The following is a 13,800-nucleotide window of genomic DNA, read 5'->3' as shown; positions in this document are numbered from 1 at the left end:
CAAGGTGGGGGGTCCCTCTCCACACCTCTGGGCTATTGCTTAGGCTGTGCTGTTGGCTTGGACTGCCCTTTTCCCCACTTCTGTCTCCTCTGTGAGCTGCTTCCTCCCCTTCCTTTCTTCCTTCCCCCAGGAAGGAGTCCCATAGTTGTTTGCACCCATCCATTACAGCGTGGACTGCACCTTATTACAGTTATTGGTGTGCAAGCCTTTCTCCCCTACTAGACCCTAAGCTTGGGGAAGGGGAGGGAACTGTGGGCTCTCATCTCTGTACCCACTCCTGGCAGGCCACCTGGCACAAAATCCACTCAGGAAGTATTCACTGTCCGTGAGTTGAGCCATTGTGCTTACATAGCACCAATCTGTGACAGCTTGTCTGACCTGGAATTTCACCCTGTATTTCCCAAAGAAAAGATATGAGTACTGGATTTGAGAGATATATTTCAACATTTCAATTTTATTGTATTTAAGAACTTTTTTTTCTCAGAAAAAAATTACAAAATTCATTTTATAAAATTCATCCAGATAAATGATTTCAGTCCCATATGGTACAAAATACCTTTCCCAAGGAATAGATGATTTAATTTAAAGCCTCTGTTTTCTTTTCCTTTTATAACTTTACTTTTGTTTTTTTTCACAGACTTTCTATTTTAGAACAGTTTTAGGTTTAGAGAAAAATTGAGCAGATAGCACAGAGAGCTCCCACGTACTCTTCAGCACACACAGTTTCCCCGATTATTAACATCTGGCATCAGTGTGGTACATTTGATACAACTGATGAACCAATATTGACACGTTACTATTAACTAAAGTCCATAGCTCACATTAGAGCAAACGCTTTGTGCTGTACATGCTATGGGTTTTGACCAATGCCCAATGTCATGTACCCACCATCACAGTGTCATACAGAACCTTTCACTGCCCTAACATCCCCTGCGCTCCACCTCCTCATCCCTCCCTTCCTCTCACTGCCCTTGCAGCTCCTGGAAATCACTGATCTTTTTACTGTCTTTGTAGTTTTGCCTGTTCCAGCATGTCATATCCTTTCAGTTTTCAGTAAGTAACACTCTCACACATTTCAAAAGTTAAAACTGTATAGAAAGGAACCACTGAGAACTCTTTCTCCCACCCGGTCCCAGCCCCACTGTTCCCCATTATCCTACTACCCCAGGGAAACCACCTGATTAGTTTCTTAGCCTTTGTCTAGCTTTTATTTATGCAAATATGTTTTCTAATTTCCTTTCTTTCTTACACAATTAACAGCATACTATTAGTAATATACTATATGCACTGATCTGTATCGTGTTTTTTTAATTATAATTATTCTTTTAATAAAATGCTTCACTGAGAGCAGGGAAGCCACCTTACTTTCCCAAAAGTTACACAATACATGGTAGTACCAAAGAAATATCTGCTGAGAGAAATACTATTTTGGGAAGTAGTTAATAATTTTACAATATGCAATAGAAGCAGACACATGAACAGCTACAATGTGGATACAAGTTTTGTCAAATAATCAGGAGAAAAAAGAATAAAAATTACAATGGCAAATGGCTGTCCAAATTTTCCAAGTCCAACTTTATAGTGCTGTGAAGAAAAGCATGAATATGAGACTCTCAATAAACATTTGTGCATCCATGAAATTGAATTATTTAGGTTTAAAGATAGAATTTTGGAAAACTGAAAATAATTTTTGTAATTTCAAGGTAAAATAATCTTTACTTTCAGAAAACACATTGTAACTGTGATAAGCCATAGCATTTATTCATGTGTATAAGATAAAAACACAGAAAGTATTCTACTCTTATTATTTAAGGTGGAAAAAGGAATAATTGTGAAATTATGTTTCAATTTTCCAGCCTGGCCATCATGGCCAAACCCCATCTCTACTAAAAATACAAAAATTAGCCAGCTGTGATGGCATGCACCTGTAATCCCAGCTACTCGGGAGGCTGAGGCACAAGAATCATTTGAACCCGGGAGGCGGAGGTTGCCGTGAGCTGAGATCTCGCCATTGTACTCCAGCCTGGGTGAGAGAGCAAGACTGTCTCAAAAAACAAAACAAAACAATTATCACCCTTAAAGTGTAGCTCAGAAAGATTTAGAGTAAGAGCATACATTTAGCTCGCAACATATATGTTAGGAAACAAAAGAATGCTGATTAAATATAACTTAGTGGTAGGTAAAGTTGTCTATTTTTTCCCTATCATATATCATAACGTAATAGATCACAAATATGTTTTAGAATTTTTCTTAAGTTTTAAGAATCCAAAAATGGCTGGGCTCCGTGGCTCATGCCTGTAGTCCCAGCACTTTGGGAGGCTGAGGTGGATGGGTCACCTTAGGTCAGGAGTTCAAGACCAGCCTCACCAACATGGTGAAACCTGTCTACTAAAAATACAAAAATTAGCCGGGCATGATGGTGTGTGCTTGTAATCCCAGCTACTCCGGAGACTGAGGCAGGAGAATTGCTTGAACCCAAGAGACGGAGGTTGCAGTGAGCCAAGATCACACCACTGCATTCCAGACAGGGCAACAAGCGTGAAACTCTGTCTCTTTTTTTGTTTGTTTGTTTTGAGACAGAGTCTTGCTCTGTCGCCCAGGCTGGAGTGCAGTGGCACAGTCTCGGCTCACTGCAAGCTCTGTCTCCCGGGTTCATGCCATTCTCCTACCTCAGCCTCCCAGGTAGCTGCGACTGACTACAGGTGCCCGCCACCATGCCTGGCTAATTTTTTGTATTTTTAGTAGAGACAGGGTTTCACTGTGTTAGCCAGGATGGTCTCGATCTCCTGACCTCGTGATCTGCCCGCCTTGCCCTCCCAAAGTGCTGGGATTACAGGCATGAGCCACTGCGCCCGGCCAAGCTAAACTGTTTCAAAAAAAAAGAAAAAAAAAAGGAATCCAAAGAAAAAAATACATCACCTGCAAAAGGTGAAGAGAGAAAGGAAGCTTTTTCTCTAAAAATGGTGCAGCTATCCTCTGAACCAATTTCCTTCGGTTTAATGTACCTGTATCTTGGGGTTTTTTTCCACTTAATTTATCCTGGAGCTCTTTCCATAACAACACTTGGAAAGCACTCTCATCCTTTTTTCACTGCTGAACAGAATTCCACTGTGTGGATGGAACATACTCTATTTCACCAGTCCCCTGTAGCCAGTCACTTGGTTTGTTTCCAATCTTTTGCTTTTTCAGAGTAATAACCTTGTATGTCTATCATTTTGTATGCATACAGGTTTATATGTAGGAAAAATTCCTAGAGTAGGATTGCTGGACCAATGGATAAAAGTATATTGTGGACAGACAATGCCAAATTGCCTTTCAGAGACTGTGGCCCTGTGCACCCCATCAGGCATGTGTGACTACCAAAGCTCCTGTCAGCTGTTTTATTTTATCTCCTTTCCAGTCTCAGGCTCAATGCAGAACTTTGAGGTAAGCTTTTCTAAAATGTAGGCTCCTAAACGCCACAGCCAGCTCTGCCACATGAAGGAGAGCTCAAATGAGACAGAAACAGCCTCTGGGCAGGATTTCTATCCTGCACAGATATATTTTCCACATTCTGGGAAACCGTGAAGCTTCCAGAGCCACAATTCCCCAGAAACACATCCCCCTGCTGGTACAGCCAAGCCCCAGAACAAGCTGTGCTTGCCTGGCACCTCAAAGCCAAGCACCATGGATGCCACTTGCTATGGGTGCCTGCAATTTCAAATAATGAGAAATAAGAAATTTCAGCTTCTCAGTCCCTCTAGCCAACATTTCAGGTGCATGACAGCCTCAGGTGGCAAGCAGCTACTCTGCCGGACAGGGCAGAAGATGGAACACCCCATCCCTGGGGAAGATCACGAGGTCAGGAGATCAAGACCATCCTGGCTAACACAGTGAAACCCCGTCTCTACTGAAAATACAAAACATTAGCTGGGTGTGGTGGCAGGCACCTGTAGTCCCAGCTACTCAGGAGGCTGAGGCAGGAGAATGGCGTGAACCTGGGAGGTGGAGGTTGCAGTGAGCCAAGATTGCGCCACTGCACTCCAGCCTGGCAACAGAGTAAGACTCCATATCAAAAAAAAGAGAAAAGAAGAAGAAAGAAAGAAAGAAGAAGAAGAGGAAGAAGAAGAAGTGGAAGAAGAAGGAAAGAGGAAGAGGAGAAGCAGGAGAAGAACAAGGAGAAGAAGAAGGAGAGAGAAGAAGAGACAAGAAGAAGGAGAAGAAGGAGAGAGAAGAGACAAGAGAAGAAGGAAGAAGGAGGAGGAGAAGGAAGAAGAAAAGGAGAAGAAAGAAGAAGAAGGAAGAAGAAAGAACAACAAAAAGAAGGAGAAGAACAAGGAAGAAGAACAACTAAGGAGAAGGAAGAAGGAGAAGAAGAAAGAAGAACAAAAAGAAAGAAGAAGGAGAAGGAAGAAGAAGGAGGAGGAGAAGGAGAAGAAGAAGGAGAAGAACAAGGAGAAGGAGAGAAGAAGAAGAGACAAGAAGAAAGAAGGAGAAGAAGAAGGAAGAAGAAAAGGAAGAAGAAAAGAGGAAGGAGGAGGAAGAAGGAGAAGAAGGAAGAATAAGGAAGAAGGAGAACAAGGAGAAGGAAGAAGAAAAGAAGAAGGAGAAGGAGGAAGAAGGAGAAGAAAGAGGAGAAGAAGGAAGAAGAAGGAGAAGGAAGAAGAAAAAGAGGAAGAAGGAGAAGAGGGAAGAAGAAGAAGGAGAAGACGACGAACGAAGGAGGAGAGGAGGAAGAAGAGGAAGGAAGAAGAAAGAAGAAGAAAAGAAAAGGAAGAAGAAGGAGAAGAAGAGAAGAAGGAGAGGAGGAAGAAGAAGGAAGAACTAAGAAGGAAGAGAAGGAGAAGAAAAGGAGAACTAAGAAGGAAGAAGAAAGGAAAAGAAGGAGAAGAAGAAAGAACTAAGAAGACGAAGGAGAGGAAGAAGAAGAAGAAGAAAAGAATAAGGAACAAGAAAGAAGGAGAAGAAGAAGAAAAGAAAGAAGAAAGAATAATAAGGAACAAGAAGAAAGAGGAAGAAGAAAGGAGAAAAGAAAGGAAGAAGAAAAGAGGGAGGAGAAAGAAGAAGAAAAGAGGAAGAAGAAAGAAGAAGGAGAAAAGAAGAAGAGGAAGAAGAAAGAAAAGAAGAGGAAAGAAGGAAGAAGAAAGGAAAGAAAGGAAGAAGATAGAGGAAGAAAGAAGAAAAAAAGAAACAATAGAAGAAGAGGAAGAAAAGAAAAAAGAAAAAGAGAAGAAAGAAGAGGGAAGAAAGAAAAGAGGAAGAAGAAAGAATGAAGAAGAAAGAGGAAGAAGAGGAAAGAAGAAAAGAAGAGGAAAGAAGAAAAGAATAAGGAAGAAGAAAAAAAGGAAGAAGAAAGCAGAAGAAAGAAAAGAGGGAAGAGGAAGAAGAACGAAGAAAAGAGGAAAGAAGAAGGAGGAGAAGAAGGAGAAGAACAAGGAGAAGAAGAAAGAAGAAGGGAGAAGGAGAAGAAAAGAAGGAGAAGAAAGAAAAGAAGGAGAAGGAAGAGGAAGAAGAAGGAAGAAGAAGAAGAAGGAGAGAAGAAAGAAGAAAAGGAGAAGGAAGAAGAAGAACTAAGAAGAAGGAGGAAGAAAGAAGGAGAAGGAAGAAGGAGAGGAGAAGAAGGAAGAAGGAGAAGGAAGAGGAGGAAGAACTAAAGAAGAAGGAGAAGGAAGAGGAAGAAGAAGAAGGAGAGAAGAAAGAAGAAAAGGAAGGAGGAGGAAGAAGAAGGGAGGAGGAGGAGAAGAAAAGGAGAACTAAGAAGAAGAAAGGAAAAGAAGGAGAAGAAAGAAGAACTAAGAAGAAGGAGAGGAAGAATAAGAAGGAAAGAAGAAAGAAAAAAGTAAAAGAAGAAGAAAGAAGGAAGAAGGAAAGAAGAGGAAGAACTAAGAAGAAGAAAGAGGAGGAAAGAAGAAAGAAGAATAAGGAACAAGAAAGAAGGAGAAGAAAGAATAAGAAGAGGAAGAAGAAAAAGAAGAAAAGAAGGAAAGAAGAAAGGAGAAAAAGGAAGAAAAAAGGAAGAAGAAAGTAGAAAGCGGAAGAAAGAAAAGAAAGTATAAGAAGGAAGAAGAAGAAAGAAGGAAAGAGGAAGAAAAAAGAGAGGAAAGAAGAAAGGAAGAAGGAGGAGAAGAACAAGGAGAAGAAAGAACTAAGAAGGAGAAGAAGGAGAGACAAGAAGAAAAGAAGAAGAGGAAGAAAGAGAAGGAAGAAGAGGAAGAAGAACTAAGAAGAAGGAGAAGAAGAGAAGGAAGGAGAAGGAAGAAGGAGAAGAAGAAAGAGAAGAAAAGAAGAAGGAGAAGAGACAAGGAGAAGAAAGGAAGAAGGAGGAGGAAGAAGGAGGAGAAGGAGAAGAAAAGAAGAAGGAGAAGGAAGAAGAAAAGAAAGGAGGAGGAGGAGAAGAGGAAAGAAGGAGGAAGAAGGAGAAGAAGAAAGAAGAAAGGAGAAGAACTAAGAAGAAAAAGGAGAGGAAGAAGAAGAAGGAAGAAGGGGAAGAAGAAGGAGAAGGAGAAGAAGAAAGAAAAGACGAAGAAGGAGAGGAGGAAGAAGAAGACGAAGGAAGAAGAAGAAAAGAAGGAGAAGAAGAACGAAGGAGAAGGAAGGAGGAGGAGAAGGAGAAGAAGACGAAGGAAGAAGAAAGTAAGAAGAAGGAGAAGACGGTGACGAAGGAAGAAGAAGGAGAAGGAAGAAGGAGAAGAACTAAGAAGAAGAAAGGAGGAGGAGAAGAAAACTAAGAAGGAGAAGAAGAAGAAGGAGGAAGAAGAAAAGAAGGAAAGAGGAAGAAGAAAGAAGAAGGAGGAAGAACTAAGAAGAAGGAGAAGGAAGAAGGAAGAAAGAAAAAGAACGAAGGAGGAGGAGAGGAAGGAGAAGGAAGAAGAAAAAGAAGGAGAAGGAAGAAGGAGAAGAATAAGAAGAAGAAAGGAGGAGAAGGAAGAAGAAGAAAGAGGAAAGAAGAAGAAGAAAAAGTAGAAGGAAAGAAGAAAGAAAAAGATGAAGAAAGAGGAAGAAGAATAAGGAAGAAGAAGAAAGAGAAGAAAGAAGAAGAAAAGAAGGAAGAAGAGGAAGAAAAGAAGGAAGAAGAAGAAAGGAAGAACTAAGAAGAAGAAAGAAGAGGAAAGAAGAAGAAAAAGAAGATAGAAGATGGAAGAAGAAAGAAAAGAAAGAAGAATAAGAAGGAAGAAGAAAGAAGAGCAGAAGGAAAGAAGAAGAAGAAAAGAAAGGAAGAAGAGGAAAGAACAAGAGGACGAAGAGAAAAGAAAAAGAAAGAAGGAAAGAAGAAAGAAAAAGAAGAGGAAGAAGAAAGAAGAAGAAAGAATAAGAAGGATGAAGAAGAGGAAGAAAGAAGAAAAGAGGAAAGAAAGAAGGAAGAAGAAAGGAAAGAAGAAGAAAAGGAAAGAAGGAAGAAGAGGAAGAAGGAGGAAAGAAGAAAAGGGAAGAAAAAGAAAATAAGGAAGAAGAAGAGGAAGAAGAAAGAAGGAAAGAAAGAAAAAGAAGATAGAAGGAAAGAAGATAGAAGAAGAAAAGAAGAGAAGAAGAATAAGGAACAAGAAGAAAGAAGAAAGAAAAGGAAGAAGAAGAAGAAAGAAAAGAAAAAGAAAGAAGAGAAGAAAGAAGAGGGAAGAGGAAGAAGAAAACAGGAAGAAGGAAGAGGAAGAAGAAGAAAAGAAGAGGAAGAAGAAAAGAAAAAAGAGAAAAGAAAAGAAAGGGAAGAAGAAAGAAAAAGAAGAAAAGAGGAAGAAAAGAAAAAAGAAAAAAGAGGAAGAAGAAAAGAAAAAGAAAGAAGAAAGAGGAAGAAGAAAGAAGAGGAAAGAAGAAAGAAAAAGAGGAAAGAAGAAAGAAGAAGAAGAGAAGAAGAAGAAGAAGAAAAGAAAAAGAAGAAGAAATAAACAAAGTGTGCCAAGAGCTCAAAAGGACCATACCTGTTGGACGGGATTACAGGCCCTTGGACCCATCCTCATGAAAAAGATCAGTGTACAAACATTTGCCTCCTGGGCTCTGCATGACTGTGCATTTCAGTAGAATCACCTGGAGGTCTGTTAACAGTGATTTTTTAAAAAGCCCTTAAATGATGGTCATCTTCTGTTCAGGTGGCTCCACACGCTGAGGTCCCACGTGCCTGAAGGTCTGGCCCCTCCGGTTACATGGCTGTGCACCTCCTGGGGGCACTCGGGGCTGCGTTTGCTTTCTTCCTGATATTTTCTGTTAAAAACAAGAATCTTACTTCCTCTGTTGCCTAAGCTCTGCCTCACAGGACTGGTTTTATGTTTTAATTGCATGCCACAGTTTGTGTTAAAAGATGTAACAACTATATTTAAGAACATTTTGGGGAAAGAAAGGTAGCGTCCCTAATCTCTCTACCCTGAAATGAGTCTTAGCTTTTCCACCTTGCCTATAGCAGCTATGGGGGGGGGGGGGGGGGGGGGCGGTCCTTTCTTTTCCCTCAATAATATGCTAGAAACATTTCCCTCAGCAATATACTAGAAATATGTCAGGAGTGGTTTTCTTTGTTGCCTCATATCTAATGGAGACTTCACAACTATCAGTGGCTGCCTAGTGCCCCATTCTGTGGTTGCCCCATTATGTACCACGTCAGTGGGTATCACAGCGTTTAAGGCTTTTTCATCATGAGCTGATTTTGTTTTTAATGAGGGATTAGTACTAGAACCTTCTATCCTGCTTGTCTGATGATTCCACAGAACACTGAATCCCATATCAGGCTTTTGAGATTGGCATACTCAAATAAGTTGTGATGACCTCAGAAGGTTTATTTGACCAGATTTGACTGGTTCAACTCATATTAAGTCAGTTTTGGCTCCTATGTCTTAATGTTTGTGAAAAAAGTCTGGAGGTGGTTCCAGGCTTATTCCAAAATGGAAAAAAAATGTCAAGGTATAGAGGGCTGGTAAGGAAGAGATTATGGACAGCATCACTGGCTCCGGGGCTGTGAAGGTCACAGGGTTCAGTTTGGGCCAACACCCTCATTGCACAGATGGGGAAACCAGGGCCAGGAGGCACTGTAGTTTGCCCAAGGGAAAAGAGGGCAGGGCTAGGGGTAGGAATCTGGAAGGCCTAGAGCCAGCATCACAGCATTCTTGTCTGAGCAGCCCTTGGAGGGCCCTGCTGCATTCCAGTGGGGGCCACCCAGCTCCTGAGAAGCAGCCCAGCAGAGTACGCTCTTACCAGCCAGGTCCCTCCTGCCAATGGCCACGAGGCCCTCGAACAGCGCTTTGCTGGGGTTCTCACCAGCCGTGGCCACGCCATGCAGCCAAATGAGCAGCATTCGGTGGCCGTGCTCCTGATAGCTCCTGGTGCCTGAGAACAGTGAGGGAGGAGAGAGAGAGGGAGAAGGAGCCAATGGGGCCACTTGACCAGAGCGCCTGTCTATGCCACCCTGCACCGCCTCCTGAACATGCCCAGGTGGGAAAGAGGCCAAAAGCCTCCAAGGCCCTTCTCCATGCTCCAGCCAAGCTCAGCCTGGAGATAGGTAAGGGGAGTGGAGGAGCAGCCTCTCAGATGGGGAGGGAAGGGTTTGTGTCTTGGTCTCTAGAACCTCCCCAGCCCCAGGCCTTCTCCTGAACACCCACTATGCACTCTGTTGGTGTCACTCTGAATGGAGAAAGAATTGACTTTCATCGTTGTGGTACCATGATGCACAAATTGTATACTTCACCTCTCTGGCTGCTCAAAATAATCTGTGTCTTGCATGATAGTGGTCCTAATTTACAGATGAGAATACAGCTTAGTCAGAGATGGAGCTGGCCATGCTTTCCCCTGCACCAGTGGTTCTCAGACTCAGCTGCTCCTTGGAAACACCTAGGGCCCATGTCACCCCCAGAGATTCTCATGTACCTGGGACTGGGTGCAGCCTAGGCATTTAACGGTTTCAAAATTTCCCAGGTGGTTCCAACATACAACCATGTTTGGAAAATAATTGCCCACACGGCATGGGGTTAACATGTTATTCAGCTGGCTGTGATTCAGCTGGCTCTCCAGTGCTGTGGAAACAGACAGATGCTGGGCCACGCCCATCAGGTCCAGGTCACTCCATTCGCCCCTCTGACCTTCCGTGCCCCTCTTGGGGCCCTCAGCAGGCATGTCCTCACGGTACTGCCCTTGGTGTGGTGGCACTTCCGCTTGACCCAGCAGTCTCAACACCATTTATTAACTATCTCTGCCCCCGCCACTGTAATGTACAAGTGCTTCTTTATCATATATGAAAGTTCTTATCCGTAGCAGCGTTTACTTTTGAACTCTGCTCTATCCCAAATTGATATGCAAATGTCAATTTGCATATTTTTGTGTCAGGAATCTTTTTTTTTTCCTTTGGGAGACAGAGTCTCACTCTGTCCCCCAGGCTGGAGTGTAGTGGTGGGATCTCGGCTCACTGCAAACTCTGTGTCCCGGGTTCAAGCGATTCTTAAACCTCAGCCTGTCGAGCAGCTGGGATTACAGGACCCGACCATCATGCCCAGCTAATTTTTGTATTTTTAGTAGAGACGGGGGATTCACCATGTTGGCCAGGCTGGTCTCAAACTCCTAACCTCAGGTGATCTGCCCACCTTGGCCTCCCAAAGTGCTGAGATTACAGGTGGGAGCCACTATGCCTGATCCAGATATCTCTTTATGTTAATTTTATTTTGGCTTTATAAAAGGCTGAGTCTGCTTGGGTTAGATCCCCTTTATTGTTTTCCCCCAGAATGTTCACTTTTATATCCCTGTTTATTCTTCCAGACAAATTGTAGAATACTTCAGTCAAGTTTCAAAAACCTATTTTGATTAAAATTAGATCAAAGTTTTAATCTAATTGGAGAAAAACTGATATTTATATGATACTTTTTCTTGCCACAAATACAGAATGTCATTCCATTTACACAAGTCTTTTATAGTTGAACCATTATTGTTTTATTCATATGTGTCATCTGTATTTGTCTTTTAGGTTTTCCAGATGAAACACACACACCATTGTAAATGGAATCTCTTTTAAAAGATTCTCTCTCTATATTTTTTGCCCATTTAGCCATGGTTCATAGGAGTTCTGTGGTGTTAGTATATTTTCTATATTTAGCCATTTCCTTGAATTATTTGATTAATTCTAAGATTTTTTTAGTTGATTCCTCTGGACGTCCTATGTATATTAAGTATTCCATCTGAAATCAATAAGTCTCTCTCTTCCTTTACAATATTTACACTCCTTATTTCTATTTCCTTTTCACACCTTAGTACCAGGGCCAAAATTTCCATATAGATGTTGAATAATAGTGACAACAGCAGGCCCTCTTCTTTTTACCAAGAATGGTTTTAGTTTAGGTATAAACAGTGGGTATCAGTTTGGGCTGATTGGTGAAGAATGTGAAATTCACAATCAATGGGGAGAGGCAGAGTGTGCACCCTGTGCAGAGGCCTGGAGGAGGGACAGAGCACCAGGTGTGTTGGACAGTGTGGGACCAGGCTGTGGGTTGCACAGGCCCTTTCACCAGAAGCACAGAAAACTGAACACATTTCAGGTGTCCCACCCCTCCGCCCAATGGTTGCTTAGGGCGAGGAGAGGCAAGGTGGTACCTGTCCACTGTTGCTCGATGGCGTCGACATGTGCCTCCGTGAACTCCCAGGAATATGCCAGCTTCTTCCACTCACGGGGCTGCAGATACCTGGAGGCCAGCCGCCACAGCACAGAACGGAGCTGCTGTGTTTCCTGCCGATGGTCCTGCTTAAAGGACAAGCTCTTCCCAGAGGGATCACTGGGGTGGTCCTGTGGGGCAGATCCCAAAAGTGCAGAAGCTCTCCCTCATGATCCCAGACAGGGGCAGTGCCGAGCCGAGGCCCCTATGACCCTCCTACCACCTCTGCTGGGGTGCCTGGGAGCTGGAGTCAGCAAGGGCCAGGGGCTTAATGTCCTCTCTTCTGGTTTCTCACTCCATGCCTTGCCTTGACCTCTGGAACCCAAGTTGCTCCCACTGTTCTTCCACCCGGAATTCCTCTGCTCACCTTCCTGCCCCTCAACCTCATTGTCATAGTCAAAAGACTACCCATGTGCTACTTCCAGGGAGCCTTTCCAGATTCCTCCGGTCACCTGCCTCTCTTTCCTGTGTTCTTATAGCATGGGTGTCAGCAGAAGTACTCCGAAGCTTTGGCCAAAACCAGGCAGGGCAAGAATCGGATTTGCTGAATCACAAGGGGTAGTAAAGGGTGGGATTACAAAATCCTTTCTAGCAAAGCAGGCAATGAAATTAGAGGTTACTAAAGAATTCTGTCATAGCATAAATGATGCCCACAGAAGCCTAAGGCCCTCTAAAGGGAATGGATGCAGAGTTCTGGTTGTTAAGTTCAGGGTGAAAAAAATCATCCTGGTGTCTGCAGTTCCAAAGCTTATGTCATGGTCAACAGTCTCTGGCAATCACTGTGAGGTGAAGCTTGGTTCTCACCTGGGGTATTAAAAACTGGTCCCCTGGGGCAGTGTTTTCAGCCCCATCTGCACATTGAGACCATCTGGGAACTTTAAGAACCACTGATGTCTGGCCCCTACCTCAGAGATTCTACCTGAATTGGCCTAGGGGTCCAGGGGAGATTTGTGATTCTGACATGCAGCCACTGCCTTAGTGGTGAGGACCTGTAAAGCCTGAAGTGGCTTAGTACTCAGCACAGAGATGAATCGGCTAGTCCAACCCTCAGTATTAACATTTTGGGATTATATTTAGGAATAATCTGTTGTATGTAAAGGGGTTGTCATGTTTAAGGGAATCTAGCATATCAGTGGGAGAACATCTTATGATTCCTACTGAAATTTATCTACCAATTGATTCTGAAACAGTGATTTTTATTTGAAAGGGATAAGAAGTTTACTAAGTTTGTAAACCACATTGGAATGTTTAAGATATTTGAGATTATTTATAGGTTTAAGTTAATGGTCTTATTAGGATAATTTAAGAATTTAAGAAGCATTTGAAGTGCTTAAAAAGAAAATCTGTTATATTAAGTTTATTTATTCAGTTTCAATGTTTAAGTTAGTTTAACTAAGTTTAAACATGGGACCCAACATTACTCAAAAGACTTCCTTGAAACTGACAGGAAAAATTTACTAGTTGTATAAATAGAATAATAAGATTTATAAAATGAATTTTAAAGTTTAAGAAAAACTAGGTTTTTAAATTTGTAACTTAGCAGATTCAACACAGATGCCCCTCAACTTATGATGGGGTTATGTCTTGATAAAAATCATAATTCGGCCAGGCATGGTGGCTCACACCTGTAATCCCAGCACTTTGGGAGGCTGAGGTGGGCAGATCACAAGGTCAGAAGATTGAGACCATCCTGGCCAACATAGTGAAACCCCATCTCTACTAAAAATACAAAAAATTAGCTGGGCATGGTGGCACACACCTGTAGTCCCAGCTACTTGGGAGGCTAAGACAGGAGAATCGCTTGAACCCAGTAGGCAGAGGTTGCGGCAAGCTGAGATCGCACCACTGCACTCCAGCCTGGGTGACAGAGTGAGACTCCGTCTCAAAAAAAAAAAAAAAGTTCATATATATATATATATATATATATGTTGAAAATGCATTTAATCCCTCTAACCTACACACCATCAATAGTTTAGCTTAGCCTACCTTACATGTGCTTAGTACACTTACATTACTTTATAGTGGAGCAAATCATCTAACACAAAGCCAGTTTTATAATAAAGTGCTGAATATCTCATGTCATTTAGTGAATACTATATTGAAGTGAAAAACAGCATGGCTGTACAGGTACTCAAAGTATGGTTTCAACTTAATGTGTATCACTTTTGTGCCATCATAAAGTAGAAAAATCATAAGCTGAACCATTGTA

General features: G+C 42.2%; 1 protein-coding gene across 1 annotated transcript in view, besides 2 other annotated features; it reads right to left on the bottom strand.

The window, feature by feature from the left end:
- Positions 1–434: 434 nt before the first annotated feature.
- ANKDD1A (ankyrin repeat and death domain containing 1A) overlaps positions 435–13,800 on the bottom strand; it is a 46,790-nt gene continuing 33,424 nt past the window's right edge. The window contains exons 13-15 of the mRNA NM_182703.6: positions 11,533–11,722; positions 9,154–9,285; positions 435–2,023 (exon numbers count right to left, since the gene is read on the bottom strand). Of these exons, the coding sequence (NP_874362.3) occupies positions 1,938–2,023; positions 9,154–9,285; positions 11,533–11,722 (408 nt within the window). The 3' untranslated portion in view covers positions 435–1,937. The remainder of the gene's footprint in view (positions 2,024–9,153; positions 9,286–11,532; positions 11,723–13,800) is intronic.
- Positions 11,159–11,659: an enhancer, noted in NCBI's record as "H3K4me1 hESC enhancer chr15:65239687-65240187 (GRCh37/hg19 assembly coordinates)". NCBI's record gives its function as "activates a minimal SCP1, AML or CMV promoter by ChIP-STARR-seq in naive H9 embryonic stem cells {active_cell/tissue: H9 hESC(naive)}" and the evidence as "EXISTENCE:reporter gene assay evidence [ECO:0000049][PMID:30033119]".
- Positions 11,660–12,160: an enhancer, noted in NCBI's record as "H3K4me1 hESC enhancer chr15:65239186-65239686 (GRCh37/hg19 assembly coordinates)". NCBI's record gives its function as "activates a minimal SCP1, AML or CMV promoter by ChIP-STARR-seq in naive H9 embryonic stem cells {active_cell/tissue: H9 hESC(naive)}" and the evidence as "EXISTENCE:reporter gene assay evidence [ECO:0000049][PMID:30033119]".

The sequence above is a fragment of the Homo sapiens genome, chromosome 15, assembly GCF_000001405.40.
Source record: "Homo sapiens chromosome 15, GRCh38.p14 Primary Assembly".
Classification (NCBI taxonomy): Eukaryota; Metazoa; Chordata; class Mammalia; order Primates; family Hominidae; genus Homo; species Homo sapiens.
This window is presented reverse-complemented; position numbering and strand designations above follow the sequence as displayed.